Raw genomic sequence first — 19,316 nt, 5'->3', positions numbered from 1 at the left:
ACCTACATTCCCTTCTTGATTTCCATCGTTGTACTACAGTTTTGTAAGATATTACCATTTGGGGAGTCCAGGTGAAGAGTATACGAGAACTCCATGTACCAGTTTTGCAGCAGCTAAAAGTTAAATGATCTTAAATTAGAAAGTTTTTTAAATTTCATGAAAAATAGGAATATAATTTGCGTCTTCGAGTCTCAGGGGCATTTGATAAACATCGATCACCACTTGCAGAGCCATCCCTTAGGTTAGGGAATCAGGGCAATTGTCTTCAGCCTGAATTTTGGAAGAAGAGGAGGAGTCCGGGGAGGGATTTGCAATAAAGCGGCATCTCCACCGTCAAAAGTGTGCTCAATAAGATAGAGGCCCCCTACCAGAACGAGTCGATGAACCTGCTACTTCTCCACTTGCACATGCACCTCACGCTGGCCATGGCTGCTGTGCAAAGGACTGATCTTCATAAAAAGGTGTGGGGATTAGGGAAGGAGAGCAAGCGGGGAGAGGGAGAGCCCCAGGAGAGTGGGGAGGGGCCTGCCACACCTGGGGTGAGTTGCCAGTCACCTCATCAGGACCAGCTCTGGGAGCTGAACTGAAAAGGCACAAAACTGCCAATCGATAGAAAGCTATTGATAGAACATTTTCATGGCTGTATTTGAAATGCAGTCGATGTCACCCCCCAAAAACAATAATATTTACTTCCATGTCACTGGCAAGTGTGTTACTCCTCATCTCACATTTTAATCTCCAGCACAGTGAGAGAAGCCGAAGTACAAACCCTGCATAAGATGACTGTGAGTACAAAGACATTTGTGATTAGGGCCAGCGGGTGGCTGAATGGAAAAACAAATGGGGCTTCACCTGTGACTCAGACCAACAGCAACCTCGTTTTTTAATATCAGCAAAGCAAATCATTATTTCTAAAAATGTCATGCACACATTTTAAATTCTTAAATGTTATGATGCCACGAATGCTGATCTTTGGTTAAATCTGATTTGAGCCTAACACACTTAAGGGAAACAGAATCTCTTAAGAGCAGAGAATAAGGAGAAAAACAATGAAATTGACCTCAAAGGATTGGACTGGGACTTTTATTATTTAGGTTCCTAGATTTAAACATTTTTTATAGTAATGTTTACTCATTCAAAAACATCTACTGAATCGAATTCTGTGAACTGGTTGTCAAAAATGAAAATCTCCTGGTCTGGTGGAGATTTCTTTAAGACATTCCACCATATAACTTATCACACGCAGCACTTCCCAAATCTTCAGTCATTTGAATAGCATTTCTCAGACTTTTGCCATATCTGCACATCAATTATACTTTTATCTGCTGGATATTTCTCCTTAAGTCACTTCATTTTCTCCAATGTTATTGTAAAAGAAGCATTTATGCAACCACTAAGAATGGGAAAGACACATCACTTGCCATAAGTGGAAAAGAATTATACATGTAAATATTTAAAAAACAGGTATGTCTATCTATATTCCACATAAAAATATCCTACATACCACCAGTGGTATGTAGGCCACAGTTTGGAAAATATGGCAATATAATCTAAATAATATAAATACATCAAAATTTTCAGGATGTACTCCCCACATACAAGAAAGGTTTAAAATCAGAGAACAGACTGAGGCCATTTTAGAGATGGAATGTGTAGTCAGAATAAACACAATTGTGCCACTGTCACAAATAATCCCCAGATATCATTGGCTTGACATCACAAAAATGGATTTCTCAATTACATAAAGTCCATTGTGGGCCACATGATTCTCCAAGGAGACTGTTGCCATGGTGACTCAGAGTTGAGGCCAATGGCGGCTCCACCATCCTGTGGCTATGATTCCTGAACTTGTGGTCTCCTCAGTTGATGAGGTGAAGAAAGAAAGCCTGGAGAATTATGCACGAGCTTCTCACTGTCTCAGCCCACAAGTAACACACCTCTTTCCCTCACAGCCCACACTGGCTGGAACCAATCACATAGCCCTGCCTAACTGCAAGGGAGGCCAGAAAGTGCAACACTTTCTCATGGTCACGGGTGAGCACGAAACATCTCTCCAAATATGGGTTGGGAAGATTAAGAGACTAGTCCAGAAGAAAACAGTCTCCAGGGAGAAATATATCTGGGAATAGGAATCGAGAAAGCAACCAAGAGAGCAGAACTGAGTGGATGAGAGGAACTGTCAGACCACATCTGCAGCTCTGATTAGTCAAATCCGAAATGTGCCTGTTGATCTACTATTCCGTGGAAATACTGGAATCACCAGCTCAATAATAAGAGGAAAGTAAATAATACCATACTTGCGTGGATAATTCCCCTCTGCTCATACCTTCATTCAGGTCAACATAGATCTATCATACTCCTACAGTGTATAAGGGACGTGCTAAGCTTGAAGTACATTCATTCTAAAAATCAAAATACAAAGGCATGGGAAGACTAAGAAAATTTCATAAACCTTCATTAAATTATCAGAAATACCTGGGATTCTCAGCTCCATTTATAAAGAAACCAGAGTTACAGTTCTTCCATTACTGATTGCTTTCTGGATTGAATATTTGAACTCTGCTTTAGTGATTCCTCTTGCTTATATGTGGGAGGAAGACCCCCTACCCTGAGCCAGCAGCTGGAGCACAGCCTGAACACACAGGTTCTCCCTCCTTAAGTGTTGGGCTCTAGATTCAAGGTTTGAGTACCATAGCCTTGATCAGCAGAGAGAACTAACTACCTAGTTTCTACAGCTTTGCTTACTGCCTCTAAAGATAGACATTAACACCTTATTTTTGAATATTAATTTAGAGTTTACAAGGGCCCTATAACCTTAATTCATCTCATCTCTGTAACAGTCCTGTGAAGTAAGAATTATGGTACCCATTTCATGGAGGAGAAAACTCAGGGAACTCAGGGGACAATCCTTTGGTGGTATCTCTAGTTGGTGGCAAAACCAGGTCTGGGATTCTGTTCCCTTAACTCTTGAGTGTCACTACTCAGTGGTTTTGTTTTCCAAGGAAGAAGGCCTGGATATTATGGATTTTTTTAAAAAAATCAAGGTAAAGGAAAATATGTAACAACAGAAAATAAGTGTTTATAATATCATGGTGAATTTAGAAAGGGTAAAATTGCGTATGTGATTATAATTATGTGAAAAGATGCATAGCGACTATACCAAAATTCTCTCCAGGGCATGACAGAGTCGTGGGAATCGCTGGAACGTTTCTAGAGGTAAAGTTTGACGCTCAATGCTTCAATTGCTTCTGTTTTTAAAACCCCTTCTCTTCTCTCCCAAATCTCAGAGCATACTTTAAACCTCGATACATCTAAGGATTACACAGACAGGTCAAAAGTTTCACAGAGCAAACAACACAGAGGGAAGTTCATTCCTCAACTCAGTACCCCAGTGTAGGGAAGGTTCTAGCTGATGCAGACTGGCATTTCAAAATCAAAGATAGGGGGCGGTGGCTCACGCCTGTAATCCCAGCACTTTGAGAGGCAGAGGTAGGTGGATCACCTGAGGTCAGGAGATCGAGACCAGCCTGACCAATATGGTGAAACCCTGTCTCTATTAAAAATACAAAAATTCACCAGGCGCGGCGGCGTGTGCCTGTAGTTCCAGCTACGCAGGAGGCTCAGACAGAAGAATCACTTGAATCCAGGAGGTGGAGGTTGCAGTGAGCTGAGATCATGCCACTGCACTCCAGCCTGGATGACAGAGCAAGACTCTGTCTCAAAATAAGTAAATAAGTAAATAAATAAATAAATAAAAGTCAATAAATAATAAAAATCAAAGACCAAAGCCTGTATGGAGAAAACTATAGGAGAAAGTGTCTCTTCTCTCTAAATGAGAGAACGAGAGAGGGAGGGAACCATGAATTTTGCTGCGTATCTAAATTTTTGGGGGTTTTCAAAAGCCAAACACACTTAAACCACATCTGCAGCTTTCACAATGACTCCAGAATACTTGGGGCGCTAAAGTCACTTTGGTACTTCGAGGTAGTGAATTAAAGAAGTGAAAGTGTTACAGTGACAAGAGAGGCCACTGCTCTGGGAAAGACACAGAAAGGAGCGCGACGTGTAGATGATGAGGAACACGGAACTGAGTGTGTGGCTGCTAATGGCTTTAGATAAATCATCTACAGAGACGCTTCAAAAGGAAATTCTGAACCAAATGGAATGGGTCAAACTTAATCGGATCCTGATCCAAACATTCATTGATGAGACAATGGGGGAAATTTGAATGCTGACTGACTAGCTAATGTTATTAATGTTAAATTTTTTTTAGTATGATAATGGCATTGTGGGGTTTTTTTTTTTGAAAAGTCCTTATTCTTTAGTATTACATGCTGAAATATTTGTGGGAAAAATAATATGATGTCTGGAATTCATTTAAAAATATTCTGAGGTTAGGGAAGGCAAGCAGATAGGCATGAGGAAGAAACAATTTTGACTATGAGTTAGTAAGAGGGACAGGGACCATGTGCATGAGGGATCATTAGACTATTCTACCTACTTTTGGTTTATATTTAAGTTTTACTAAAAAATGGCTGGACACAGTGGCTCACATCTGTAATCCAAGCACTTTGGAAAGCCAAGGTAGGAGGATTGCTTGAGGCCAGGAGTTCAACATCAGCCTGGGCAACACAGTAAGACCCCTTTCTCTACAAAACAACAACAACAACAAAAGAATAGCTGGGCATGGTGGCATGTGCCTGTAGTCCCAGCTACTTGTGAGGCTGAGGTGGGAGGATGGCTTGAGCCCAGGAGTTGGAGGCTGCAGTGAGCTACGATTGTACCACTGAACTCCAGCCTGGCAACAGAGTGAGACCCTGTCTCTAAAAAAAAATACAAAATAAGTAAATAAATGATAATAATAAAATAAACTGGCAAGATGCAGTGGTTCATGCCTGTAATCCCAGCACTTTGGGAGGCTGAGGCAGGAGGATTGCTTGAGGCCTGGAGTTCAAGGCCAGCTTGGGCAACATAGCGAGATGCCATCTCTACAAAAAAATAGAAAAATTAGCAGGGCATGATGTGCACCAGAAGGCCTAGCTACTCAGAAAGCTAAGGCGGGAGGATTGCTTGAGCCCAGAAGTTGGAGGCTGGTGATCAGCCCTTCACTGTGTCTCATTGGGACCTAAGGATAACCCCCCACAAGCCTCCTGACTTCCACCCTGCCCATGCCCCTACCCTCTATTTCCAACACAGCAGCAAAGTGAATGCTTTTTAAAAATTATCTGTAGGTCAGTTCACTCCTCTGCTCAGGACCCTGCGCAGACTCCCCTTCCCGCCCAAAGTGAAAGCCCGCAAGACCCTGCCCTCACTCCACCCTGCAGCAACCATAGGCCCAGATCCAGCTTGGCAGGCTCCATTCTGGGGCCCTCCTACCTCCTTTACCCGGAATGCTCTTCCCCCATCATCCACTGGTTTTCTGCTCCAGGACTCTGTTCACTTATCACCATCTCAGCAGAGCTGCCTCTGCCCACCTAATGCCCCTGCTCCATGCCCACCATTTTTTGGCACTCTTTTTTTTTTTTTTTTTTTGAGACGGAGTCTCGCTCTGTCACCCAGGCTGGAGTGCAGTGGCGCGATCTTGGCTCACTGCAAGCTCCGCCTCCCGGGTTCACGCCATTCTCCTGCCTCAGCTTCCCGTGTAGCGCCCACCACCACGCCCGGCTAATTTTTTGTATTTTTAGTAGAGACGGGGTTTCACCGTGTTAGCCAGGATGGTCTCGATCTCCTGACCTCGTGATCCGCCCACCTTGGACTCCCAAAGTGCCGGGATTACAGGCGTGAGCCACCGCGCCCGGCCTGGCACTCTTGAATTTCCCTTGCTGCTGTACTTTTTCTTTTTTCTACTTACTTTTTCCACTTTCTAACATATTATGTATTTTTGTATGATGTGTATCCCTTATTTTCTGTATCTGAGCAGAGAGAATTTAATCTTGGCTAGGCTCGCTGATATCCTGCACATACCTAGAACAATGCCTAGCATGCAGTAGGTGCTCATTAAAATGAGAAGAATGAGAGAATGGATTCGTGAAAGCTGATTTTCATTCCATTCCAGCCACTTGCAACCACAAAATTCATGAAACATATCTATTGGCTTGAACTGCCATTCTTGCTAGAAGAATCTGCTGATGGTGATCAATGTTTTATACCACCATTTTATTGGTTTTCCTACATTGTAAAACCAATGTTTTACACCTTTTCCTTTGTAGAAAAGGGGAGCATCTCTACTTGTGATCACTATTCATGTATCTGGAGAAAAATACCAATCAATACATTTCCCATTATACCTCCCACATAGAAGGTTTTCATTTTGCTGAGGTTGCAGTTGTTATTTTAGGGACTGTTACTGTTTGTGACTTTGCCATTGAGATTCTGCCAAAGGCTCTGTTTCTGATCAGCAGGCCTTCCGAGAACTGCCGTCCGATCAGCCAGTGGCATTTACCAGGCACCTTCTCAGGGTGCTGAGCCCTTACATGATGCAAAGCACAGCCGAGGCCTCGTCAGCAGCTCAGCCATGACATGCTTCATATCCCACACGATTCACCTCTTGATCTTTAACTGTTTCATGGAGGGAAATTTTAAATCCAGGCTTCCCCCTCTAATGAATTCCCATAAATGTGCATGGGTGTTAAAAATACAAAATCCTAGCAAATGTTTTATATGATATAACAGCAGACTCCAATCCAGCAAAATAAAATAAATAAAATGACTAATCATGTTATAACTGTTTACTTAATTTTTACTCTTGGGCATTATTATGTGTCTCAGCCTTGCAAAGTGCTGTGATTACAGGCATGAGCCACTGCACCTGGCCAACTTATTTTATTATTAACTTATTTTTTACTATTTTTTAGAGACAGGTTCTCACTCTGTTGCCAAGGTTAGAGTGCAGTGGCATACATATATATATATATATATATATATATATATATATATATATGCACACACACACATACACACACACATATATGCACACACACATATAACTAAGACAGACTAAAAACTTAAAAAAGTAAACAGTTTAACAATTTTCTAAAGCATTTCAATAACCCAAGTTTGACTTCTCTCAGCTTATGTGAAGTAAAAAATTCCATAGACAGAAGTATAATTAACTTTCAATTATTTATTTATTTGAGACAGGATCTCACTCTGTCACCCAGACTAGAGTGCAGTGACACGATCTCAGCTCAATGCAGCCTCGACCTCAAGGGTTCCAGCAATCCTCCCACCTCAACCTCCCAAATAGCTGGGACCACAGGTGTGCGCCACCACACCCTGCTAATTTTTTGTATTTTTTTTTTTTTGTAGAGACAGGGTTTCACCATGTTGCCCAGGCTGGTCTTGAACTCTCAAGCTCAAGTGATCCACCTGCCTTGTCCTCCCAAAGTGCTGGGATTACAGGCATGAGCCACCGTGCGCAGCCAGAATAAATATATTTTAATGTTAGGAAAAAGCACTTGCTGCTGATGATTTTGCAGAAAAATAAGAGAATATGATGCTTATGTTGATGGAATCTTACTGATTCCCTAAACACTATGTCAAGAGAAAGAACACAGGGTTTCTTCTTTTTTTTTTTTTTTTTTTTGAGACGGAGTTTGTGTCGCCCAGGCTGGAGTGCAGTGGCGCGATCTTGGCTCACTGCAATCTCCACCTCCCGGGTTCAAATAATTCTCCTGCCTCAGCCTCCTGAGTACCTGGAACTACAGGTGTGTGCCACCATGCCTGGCTTAATTTTTCGTAGAGATGCGGTTTCACCATGTTCGCAAGGATGGTCTCGATCTGCTGACCTCGTGATCCACCCACCTCGGCCTCTCAAAGTGCTGGGAGTACAGGCTTGAGCCCCCGGGTTTCTTCTCTTGATAAAAAGCCTATAGTGCCCTGTCTCACACGTAACTGGTTTACATACTTTTGAACTACTCTCTGCATTTGGGTCATTGGAACACTTTACTGCTAATTTTTTCAGTTGTTTCTTCCCTTCTTGTTGCTTTTTTTAAAAAAAGAATTGTGGTAAAAAATACTTAAAATAAAATTTACTACATCAACCATTTTTATGTGTGCAATTTAGTGGCATTACGTACATTCACCACTGTTTCCAGAACTTTTCATCAACCCAAACAGAAACTCCAAACCTGTTAAACAATAACTCCTTTTCTCCCCTTTCCTCCAGCCCCTAGAAGCTTATACTCTATTTTCTATCTCTAGGAATTTGCCTATTCTAGGTAAATCCTCTACGTGGAATCATACAATATTTATCCATCTGTGTCTGGCTTATTTCATTGAGCAGAATGTTTTCAAGCCATGTTGCAGCATATGTTCCTCTTTATGGCTGGATAATACTCATGTACATAAATACCATATTTTGTTAATTCAACTACTCATTACCTTTTAGGAATAACTGTGGATGATCTATTTCCAATGCCTTAGATATGTTCTTTAATGTGCTTTTTTCTTTCACAATGAGAGTCTGTGGCATGAATTGTATATACATAAATTTTAAGACAGGATTATTACCCTTGAAACTCAGAGTCACACTGGAGAGGCAGTCAAGTGATATAGTTTGGATATTTGTCCCCACCCAAATCTTATGTTAAATTGTAATCCCCAGTGCTGGAGGTGGGGCCTGGTGGGAGGTGTTTGCGTCATGGGAGCAGATTCCTCATGGCTTGGTGCTGTCTTTGCAATAGTGAGTGAGTTCTCGTGAGACCTGGTCACTTAAAAGTAAGTGGCACCTCCAACCCAGTCTCTGGCTGTCTTGCTCCTGCTCTGGCCATGTGACGGGCCTGCTTCCCCTTTGCTTTCCAGCCTCATTGTAAACTTCCTGAGGCCTGGGGAGGCCAAGCAGATGCCAGCACCGTGCTTCCTGTACAGCCTGCAGAACTGTGAGCTAATTAAACCTCTTTTCTTTCTAAATTACCCAGTCTCAGGTATTTATTCATAGCAGTGCAAGAATGGCCTAATACATCAAGTAAACAGATTATTCCAACACAACAGAGAGCACTGTGACAAGGCTACGAGGTCACAAAGGGAAGAACAAGGAACTCTGGCTGGCGGTGAGAGTTTTCAGTGAAGTAACAATATCTGACTAGGGTTTTGAAGAATGAGCAGAAGCTCTGCGTCAGATGAAGAAGAGACAGGAGGCCCTCCAAGCAAAGGAACCACTCATGTCAAGACATGGGGCAAAAAGAGAGGATGTATTTGGAGAACAGAGAGTAACCGAAGGCTATCATTCAATCAGTGATAGTCTTCATGGAGGTTAATATCAAAGGCAACCTGAATTTCCTCAGACTTCATGAGCTGGCGGTGAAGGGTGAGATCACACAAGCAGTAATAACCCAGCTCTCCCTGGCTCACTGCCTTACTTACTGGCCTTCTGGTACTCAGCAAAGCTGTCCCCATGAGTTTGGGAGTCTCCATTCCTGTCCTTCCACTCCCCTCAAACGTCTTTCATTCAAGGTCACGTGGTAACTTGACTCCTCTCACCACTACTTCTGTGGGAATGCAGAGGCCAGGCCAGAGCCTGTGGGTGCTGCCCTCCCCAGAGACTTCACTATGCCCAGCTCCAGGGAGGACTGACTGGAGGAGGGGACCAGGCATCTCCCCTGCACTCTGGGCCCACAGCAACCCTGTATACCAGCCCGTATTAACCTTGCAACGCCTTCCTCCAAAAGGCTGAGACTTCAACCACAGGACCTGGGTGGTGATCACCACAAAATTTCTTCCTGAACGTTCTTCTCCAACAACTTCTCACATTCAGTTATTCATTCAACAAACATTGAGCAACAACCTAATCTTCTGGGCTCTGGAGACCGAGTTAAAAAGGAGACAGCAGGCCCCTGCCCCCGCTTCCCGACAGGTCACCACATCTTGAGTGCTAAGACTGTCATCACAGGGTGAGGAGGGGAAATGAGCTCAGAGGGGCAGAACCTTCTGAAAGGGCAGAATGGTTCAAGCATCCCGCCAAGGTCAGAAGGTCAGTGCCTACTGCATCTTCCTCTCCTTCAATCCCTGCTTGTGTTTGAGGTGTGTGGGGCCTGGCCCAGGCTGGCAGCCAGTGAAGCCTATCTTGTCCTAAGACTAATCAGCCCAGCCCAGCAGCCAGCTTCAGGAGTCTGGCCAGTTTATTACTTAAAGCCCCCCAGAGTCCTTGCTGGTTCTAAGCCTAGAACTCCTGTCAACTCTTGACATTACCCTCCTCCAACTCTCCTACCTAACACACACACACACACACACACACACACACACACACACACACACCCCTCTGCTTTGCATTTTATATCCCAATCCCCCAGAGTTCCTCACTATTTCCCAAAATAAAGTCCTTATATGCCCTCTCATCTGTGCACCCAAGCTGCTACCCTTGGCTGGAACAAGTTCCGCTCCCTCCCCAGCGAGCACCTACTGGATCCTTCATGACAGCTTAGGTATCCAATACCTCCTCTGGGTGACCTCTCTTGGCAATCCCAGTCTAGGTCAGGTCTCCCTCCTACTATAGCCCATATTACATTATGTTGAAATGTAACCTAAATGAACTAGTCAAAGGTCTGTTTACACCAAAATAAGCACCCAGACACAGCAACTAATGGTATCTTACTCATTGCTGTCCACATAGTAGAGTCTCATTCAGAGCTGATTAAATGAATGAGTGGGTAAATGGTAGAATCAAAGTGGAAGAGCTCAAGACAGTTGCCACAAACTAGGCTGGGTTTCTTGTCATTTTTAACTTGCTACCAGTAAATCACATGGATTATGGATGAATTAGACTAATTTAAAGATACAGAATCAAATACTTGGTTCAGTTTCTAATCAATGAATTGACTGATTAGATCAATCCATTGCAACTGCAGGGCTCTGTTTGTAAAGACAGAAATTCTACAAGACACTTTTCTTCAAAATCCTTTCTGTGAGTACTGAGTTATTTAATTAAGGACAGATTTTAATTTTTAAAACCTAGTGAATTATTTTTTCATAAATAACACCATACAATTATTACTAAAAATGTTTTAAAAACACCAACTTTCTGTTTTCCCGAAACAACTCCCAAATGTGCAAGAAATTTACAACTTATGTTTTCATAACAATCCTCATAACCCCTACTCTCAATTTTTGTTTTAGTATTGAAAAATAACAGCTGGGCACGGTGGCTCACACCTGTAATCCCAGCCCTTTGGGAGGCCCAGGCAGGTGGATTACCTGAGGTTGGGATTTCAAGACCAGCCTGATCAACATGGAGAAACCCCGTCTCTACTAAAAATACAAAAATTAGCTAGGTGTGATGGTGCATGCCTGTAACCCCAGCTACTTGGGAGGCTGAGGCAGGAGAATCGATTGAACCTGGGAAGCAGAGGTTGCAGTGAGCCGAGATCACACCATTGCACTCCAGCCTGGAAAACAAGAGCAAAACTCTGTCTCCAAAAAAAAAAAAAAAAAAAAAAAAAAAAAAAAAAAAGAAAAGAAAAATCACTGGTATTTTTATTGATATTTCTAGTATTAGAAAATAACTGGTATACTTAACAATATTTGTTACATGGCAGAATAAGAGAGGGAAGAGGAGAAGGGGTTATCTTACATGCTCATGAATGAATTATATTCAGTTCCTTCCTTCATTGTCTCTTTCCACTTCAGATCCAGAAAGAATTAGGAGTGGAGGTAGGAGGGAGAGATGTCAGGATAGGGTTACCATTGATATATGTAGCATCACAAACTAATAAATAACTCATGAATCCTCTGCTTCTTCCTCTCCTTCCTTTCTCCTGATATTTCCTCAGTAGGATCAGTGACGATTTTGAAACAGCCTGGTCTCACATCACATTCAGGGGATTCTGCCTCTGAATTCTTAATAGCCTGAGAGATGCAGTTGGGGCTGACCTGCTTGATCATATGCAAATTAAAAGCAGATGTCAGTAATGAGAACATTCCAGCCAAAATCCAAAGCTACCCCAAAGGAGCGGAGCATGAAGGCACTTGCTCTATTGGAAGAGTCATCTATATATTATAGCAGGGGAAAGCCTTGATCTCATTCCAGGAAATCTTCACGACCATTGAAGATGAGGTGGTTTCTTACTGGGTACAGCCCAACCACATGGGTAGCAGAAGTCAAAGATGGGCCGAGGGGGCTAAAAGCTACCATATCTGCTTCTGATTGTCAAGTGTCTGGAGAGACCCTTTCAGTGCACTTGTAACAGATCTCCCCTTCTCCCAGGGAGTGGGGATGGGAGAGGCCTAAGCCATACACATGCATTTCAGCTGGTCAATCATCAGGGAGGTGTTTAGGGGCCCTCGAGCTACCTAATCACCATTACTGGTCCACTGTTTGCAGCAAGGTCCTGAAATCCTCCTCAGAGGTCTACAAATCCTAACGTACCTGTACTCAAAGGCCAGTTGGGAAACAAAGAGCATGAGCTCGACTTTGTAAAACGATCTCTACCTCCTCGCATTGGAAAAACGCATGAATGTATCTTAGCACTACAGAGGTCATTGGTACACACTCCTTACCTTTCTCTACCCAGAATATTACTAAAGAAAATGACAAAGGAGACAGGAATAAGTGAAATAGTGAGCTTTCTGGTCTCCCCACCATGTAGCCTAAAAAATGAAAATGGACATGGAAACAGTTAATTTCATCCTCATAACAGATCTGACACTCAATTTTTTTAAAACCTAGTAGTTTTACTACATATGAATTTAGAAATTTAATATTTCTAATGCAAATAGGACATGTTTACATAGTAACGGGAAAGAGGTAGGTGAAAGGGAGAGTTGAAGATTTTGAAGCAAAAAAGTAGACATCTTTTTTCTCCTATCATATTTTTACATGTAAATAGGGGAAAACTCTTTCTTAAAACACAACCACAATATTATTTCACACCTAAGAAGGAACATTAATTCCTTAATATCATCAAATATATCCAGGATAACTTTTTTTTCTTACACTTTGAATAAGAATTCAAACAAAGTCCATATATTTTGATTGTGCAGTGTTTCTTATAAATCTCTTTCCATCTATAGGCGCTGGATCCAGGGCAAAAATGAAGACATAAGGGACCTTAGGTGACAAGGAAGAAGCTCCCAGGCAGCATGTGGGATGGACCCAAGGAGAACGTCAGAGAGAAAGAGTTCAGTCTGGTGTCTCCTGAAGCAGGTGAGGTACACCTGGACATGAAGGATCCCATCCATCCTTCAAGGGTATTGCTGAGGCAGGAATGAGAAAACAAAACAAAGCAAAGGGGGAAAAAAAGCACAATTCTCATGGAAGATGGTTCCAGCTTATTCCGTAGAACCCTGGCCTAATTTTACCTTCAAGAACATGACCTGACTTCGCTTCCCACTGACAAGGTGTCAACTTTTACATTTCTATTGGGGTTCAGGCAAAAGAAACAACACGCCTGTGTTTCAAAGGTGGCAGCATGCTGACGAAGGAGGGTGGGGTACGCAAGGAACTGGTTGCCTCTAGGACTCGCGACAAGACCTTACGGAGAAAGAAGTCAGCCAAGGAAAAACGACTGGAGTGTGGAAGAGTCTGGAAGAGCTGGACCAGGTCCACATGGTCCGGTCAGTTCTCGAAAAATCGAGACCCTGTGTGGTGAGGGTGAGCCATCTTAGCAGGAAGGTATACCTCCCTGCCCATGCCACCTCCAACACTTCCAGACCTTCTCTTCCCTCCTTCCCCAATCCCACCCAAAGCTCCAGTTCCAGCAAATGTGGGAGTGCAACGAATGGGGTTACGGCAGCAGCCCTGAACTTGGACTCAGAAGACTTGGCTTTAAATTCTGCCTCTGCACTTACTGGCTGTATGACCCAAGATGATTTACCTCCCTCTCCACTTTCCCCATCTGTGAAATGGGGCAAATAAAAGTCCCACTGGATTCAAAAGGTTATGAGGATGAAATATGGTTGAGAGATGAGAATCCTTTTAAACTTCTCTGCAATACTAGTGATGATGATGATTAAAGTAACTTACTTGCAAAATAATGTGAATGGCCATTACCTGGCCTTTAACCCTTCAGGAAGTGTTTACTCTTCAAAGGGAAAAGTTTGTCAAACCAAGTGAATCCTCTTGCCGAACCACATGGAGAACATATTTTGGAGAGAGATGGTAGGCGAGCTCCTGTGGCCCTCTCTAACTGAGGCTGGGGTTAGGGAGGGAGGCCCTTTCTTTCTGGCCTCATTTTTGTTTCAAAAGGAAATGTGGTCTCTCTGAGGGAGGAGGACAGACAGGCAGCATATCTTCTCACGTCTTTGTGCATCATTTTTATTAGTTCCTGGCCCATATTTTTAAAAAAGAATACTTACTCTTAAATGACACACTTTAAAAGCATGCTTTTCTAAATGGCAGCAATTGGACCCCATGGTGTGGCCAGTGCGTTGAGTCTGAAAATTCCATGGTGATGCGTCGCTGTGGTCCTGTGGTGATGTACGTCTTCCTTCTCCTCTAGTTAGCACCCTGTGAGCTGAGAGGTTCAAATCTGATAGCAGCTGAAAGCTTCAAACCTAGAGTCCTCCAAGCTGGGAAGCTGAATTGCTGCTCTAGGGCTGCGTTTAGATTGATTTTTTGAATGCTGTCACTGCAGAGGAGCTAGTCAACTTTTCTCAAAATATTTTTTCTCATCTTTTTCACTTTCCTCTCTCTAGTTTGACATACGGAGTTATGAATGTACTTTCTGGTTTTGTTATATGCCTCAATTTTTATTTTTGATGATTCTATCAAGCTGGCTGCCTTCAATGTTTTCTCCATTTAGTAAAATGCACTACTTCCTGTATTCCTCACCTCCCTCCACCAGATATTCACTCTCCTGGCCCACGCCTTGTGCCTGGCACGCAGGAGCATTGGAGATGCCCCACACCTAAAGTCCATACCTTAATGTCCTGAAATAAATAAATGAATTTAAGGAAGAAAGTCTGAAATGAACTGGGGCCGAATTATACAGTAGCTGGTATCACAAAATTCTAATCAAAGCTAGGGACTTTAGTAATGATCCCTGCCTGAAGTCCTAAAAGCATGCTCCTTTGTTAATTTCTTAACCATCATGAGTTTTCACTGTCCCTTCTGCTACTACCTTCAATGTAACACTACAAATAGATTAATTACTAAGAGTAAAAGGTTTGGTCTCTTTTCTTTTTGTTTTTTTTCTGTTTCTTTTTAAAAAAATTAATTGTGAAATAGCAAATTTAAAAGGATCATTTTTTTGAACAACAGTCTTTAAAAAAAAAAAAAAAGCTAAATGTCATAGTGCCCTAAATTCTTTTGTGTCGGTGGTGATTATATTGTATGTCAAGAAACCATCCTGAGGTGATAATTAGATTTTATCTGCAAATGGAGGTGGGAGGATGAGAGTAGGTGGTAGCGTCAACATTTCACCAAAACAATAAGACAATTCACACGATGAGGTAGGAAAAATATTACTCAAACAGCTGGCTGGGGCTACTGTGTGATTAAGGGAATTTTGACACCATAATCATCTAGGGTGGGGGTATATTTTATTTGCCTATGGCCAGACATTTAGGAAGGCAAACTGGAGCAAGAGGAAAAGCAGGAAAAAATAGACTGATAACCAAAATGTAAAATATTTCTGTGTTGATCATCAGGGAAGTGAATAACACAGGCCACAAAGACCCCTTTTTTTCCCACAGAACTTTTCAACAGATGGTTATACTAGTTGTTTCAGAATTAATACCAAGGATTGAGGGTTGGAGGCATGCAACTTAGAAGCAGTGCTGGTGTGAAAGTGATAAGGTTTTTGGCTCCAAGTAACACCTCCCAATTTGTACAGCAACCACAATAGAAATGTGCTTCAGGCAAGGTGGCGTCCTACATTTTAACTTACCCCCAAGAAAATATCCTGAATTTCACAGGTGTTCTCAGTAATATGACCTGACTGAAAATAGCTTCTCTTCTGTATTTTTCCCCAGGTTAAAATTAAGCTCGGCAGGCTCGACGTAAATGTGCAGACAAAGCAAAGCAGGAAGCCTCCCACACTAAAAAGGGAAGATAAGAATCACAGAAGCTGGGATGGTTTTTATTGAAGGGCATTTCAAAGCAAATACAGACATCTACAGCATATTTGTAAATCCTCCGTATGTGTATGGAAACACACACCTTCACACATCAAAACTGGATTTGTTCCTGAGTAACAAAACGTCCTAAGAACAAAATGAAAGAAAACCAAATAGCAGAAAAATACTTCCAATGTATATACCACAAAGGATTATTTATCAACTCAACACACCAAGAGTTAAGAAAATAATGCAACAGGAACAAAGGGCAAAGGATATGTACTGGGAAGACCACAGAGAAAGAAAATGCAAATGGCTAATAATATAAAATATTTCCTAGGTTCAATAGTAATCAGGGAAAGACAAAATTACACTTTTGACCTCTTAGACTGGCAGTGACAAAGATTATTTGAGTGACCAAGCTTTAGTCAGGCTCCTGGATCTTCTAGGCCCATCTGGGCACTTCCTCGTAAAATACAGTTTTAACAAAAGCCCTGCTAAATTGGTTTACCGAGAACTCCCACCCTCAATCGAGTTCCTTAGCCCTTCACCTTTCCTCAGGTGAGGGCTGATCATCCTGTCCTGTCTTCAGCAAGACTGCTCTAACGCTGACGTTTCCTTTTAGTAATTTTCCATCCACTGACACCCACTTGTAATTTATAGCCAAGGAGCAAGATACACTGCTCCTTGGCTATAAGTTATTTTCCCTGTTACATTCAGAGTTGAGCCCAATCCCACTCCCCGACTACAAAATCGATAGCAGTGGTCCCTATACCTATTGCAATGGTCCTAAATAAAACCTGCCTTACCGTGCTTGAACAAGTGTCATCGAATAATTTTTTAACAGCAAATTGTTGGAGGTAAAGACATTTTTAAATGTCTTCAATTAGTTTAGCTACTTCCACGTAATGTTAAAATCTCCATCAATTGGCTAGTTACTGTCCCTTCCTGAGAAGAAGCAGACACCATAGCCCTGCATACTGTGGATTCACTCCTAAGTTGATATTGATATGAATGAAATAGTTATCTCCCAAACTTTGCTTTCTACATTTGTATCAAAAAACATGATGCCCCTCTGCCCAGCGCCCCCGCCACTGGATCCCCAGTCTCACTCAGAGAAAATGTCAACGTCATTGCGGTGGTCTACAGGGGCCCAACCCGGGATTCTTTTCTGTTCCTTGGGGCCTTTGCCCTTGCTCTTCTCTCTGCCTGGAAGGATCACCCCTTAACTTCTCTCAGGCCTTTCTTCAAATGCCACCTTCTCAGTGGGGCCTGCCTTGGTTGCCATACTTAAGGTTGCAATCTGCACACCTTCACCCCGGCACGACCTATACCCTTCCTCTGCTTTGTAATCACCATCTAATATTGTTTATTTAGTTTGTGTATTGTCTCTGTCTCCCAGCAAGACTCTTTTCTTGATCAAACTCTAGTCAGCTCCCCTGAGCCCTCTTCTCAACTAGGCCTCAACCTCAGCCTATAGAGACTCGAATAAAACATGAATACAGTTTCTAACAGCTCAAGGCCTGCATCTCTAGAATGACCTTAACTCACCTTAAAGTGCCTGTCTGAGAAAACTCAAAACTGTCAAAATAATTTACTGTTTGTTCATCTAACATCTGAAGATGGGGCTCCTGTCTCCAGCCTCTGTGGGAGGGTGGGAGCCTGACTTCCATAAGCACCAGTTAACAAACCCAGCTGGGTTTACATGCACCAACTCCCCTCTTCCTGGTTTGTATGATATTTTCACTTCCGTGAATTTACTGAACCTCTGTTCACCTCCCTCTATACTCCTTCATTCTCTCTTTAAAATGCACAGTCACTTCTGTACAAATTGAAGTTGTTCAGTTCACACTGAATAGTTCTCTATAGCAATAGTCTATCACTCATTAAAATCTCTCCTTGCCACTTTAGTTTCCAGCTTTATCTTTGACACCCTCACTATACTGCAGTCTCTATGAGCTGGATTTTTGTTTTCTCACTGGCACATAATAGAGACTCAGTAAATACTTGCTGAACCTTGTTGATGGGTCAAGAGTGGTGCATGGGTTTTAGCCCCTCAGCCACACTTCTGGGCTGGGATAAGCATGTTTAAGCATCTGGATGAAACATCATTGCTCATTTCACTCCTTAAATACCTGGCAAGTGACAGGCAGCTGGACATCAGAGATCATGCCGGTTTTCCTAAAGGTTTCTTCAATGTGTTTTTTGGTTTGTTCGGTTGGTTGGTTAGTTTTTTGCTTTTTTTTTTTTTTTTTTTTCTTTTTGAGATGGAGTCTTGCTCAGTTGCCAAGGCTGGAGTGCAGTGGCACGATCTTGGCTCACTGCAACCTCTGCAATTCTCTGGCCTCAACCTCCTGAGTACCTGGGACTACCCACCACCATGCCCGGCTCATTTTTGTATTTTTAGTAGAGACAGGGTTTCACCATGTTGGCCAGGCTAGTCTCAAACTCCTGACCTCAAGTGATCCACCTGCCTTGGCCTTCCAAAGTGCTGGGATTATAGGTATGAGCCACCGCATCCAGCCTTCAATTTTTTTTTAATTCTGATAGAGCACCATCTACTACATGCTTAATATTATCCATAAACAGACATGTCTGAGCACAGAAGATCATGTTAATGAAAGATTATTGAAAGGTACTGGGTGAAGAGTACTTGCTTCACAGGAACTTTTCTTGTTGGTTGTTGTTATTTCCCTGCTTCCCTGCCCTTTATTTCCATTTGTGGTTTTGCTCCTTAAACTTCCCTTCAACTCCTACTCCCTCAGTGACTCTCTGGGTTTTCATTCTTAGAACTTCATCAGAAATGCTTTGGCTGTGAATTCCAGTGACTTCCTTCAGATGCAATCTGAAGATGTCCTTTCAGTTTTTATTCTTTAGGTTCTCTTAGGTGAGCTGGGGGCCATTAACCTCCCTCACCACACTCTTTCTTCCCTAGACTTCTAATTTTTTTTTTCCAGCTGTGGCTTCTCACTATTTTCAGGTGACTACAAATACTCCCAAGTATAATCAGTCGCTTTCCAACAAATGCCTTATAAACAACTACTATGGATGAGGCACCATTGAGATTACAAAAGTCTACTACTCAAAGTGAACTCGAAGAGAGGGAGACAGTCTATACTCACATGAAAAGTTAAAGTTTATTGCATATTGCTTGCTGAACAAATTATTAAGCAAGCACTATGCAGTAAACTTTAATTTTTCATGTGAACAAAGCTATGTAGGAAAATTCCAGTGATACCCAAGGCAATAATAAATGGTCACATTATTAATCCAACCAGCAAGTCAAAGTTCTCCATTTAGAGCTTAGCCTCCCCCCATTATTACAT

General features: G+C 42.3%; 1 protein-coding gene and 1 long non-coding RNA gene across 5 annotated transcripts in view; one reads left to right on the top strand and one right to left on the bottom strand.

Moving 5' to 3' along the window:
- Positions 1 to 19,316, bottom strand: part of PHACTR2 (phosphatase and actin regulator 2) — a 294,308-nt gene that overhangs the window by 260,049 nt on the left and 14,943 nt on the right. The window lies entirely within an intron of this gene.
- Positions 1,798 to 17,022, top strand: PHACTR2-AS1 (PHACTR2 antisense RNA 1). Of its 4 annotated transcripts, NR_110148.1 has the most exons (5): positions 9,086 to 9,252; positions 9,669 to 9,970; positions 13,006 to 13,138; positions 13,396 to 13,606; positions 15,907 to 17,022. It is a non-coding gene; the product is annotated as a PHACTR2 antisense RNA 1 (long non-coding RNA). The 4 variants fall into 4 exon arrangements; NR_027113.2 differs by lacking the exons at positions 9,086 to 9,252; positions 9,669 to 9,970; positions 13,396 to 13,606 and adding an exon at positions 1,798 to 2,277; NR_110149.1 differs by lacking the exons at positions 9,669 to 9,970; positions 13,396 to 13,606 and having other exon boundaries at positions 9,086 to 9,307.

The sequence above is a fragment of the Homo sapiens genome, chromosome 6 (assembly GCF_000001405.40).
Source record: "Homo sapiens chromosome 6, GRCh38.p14 Primary Assembly".
NCBI classification, from domain to species: Eukaryota; Metazoa; Chordata; class Mammalia; order Primates; family Hominidae; genus Homo; species Homo sapiens.
This window is presented reverse-complemented; position numbering and strand designations above follow the sequence as displayed.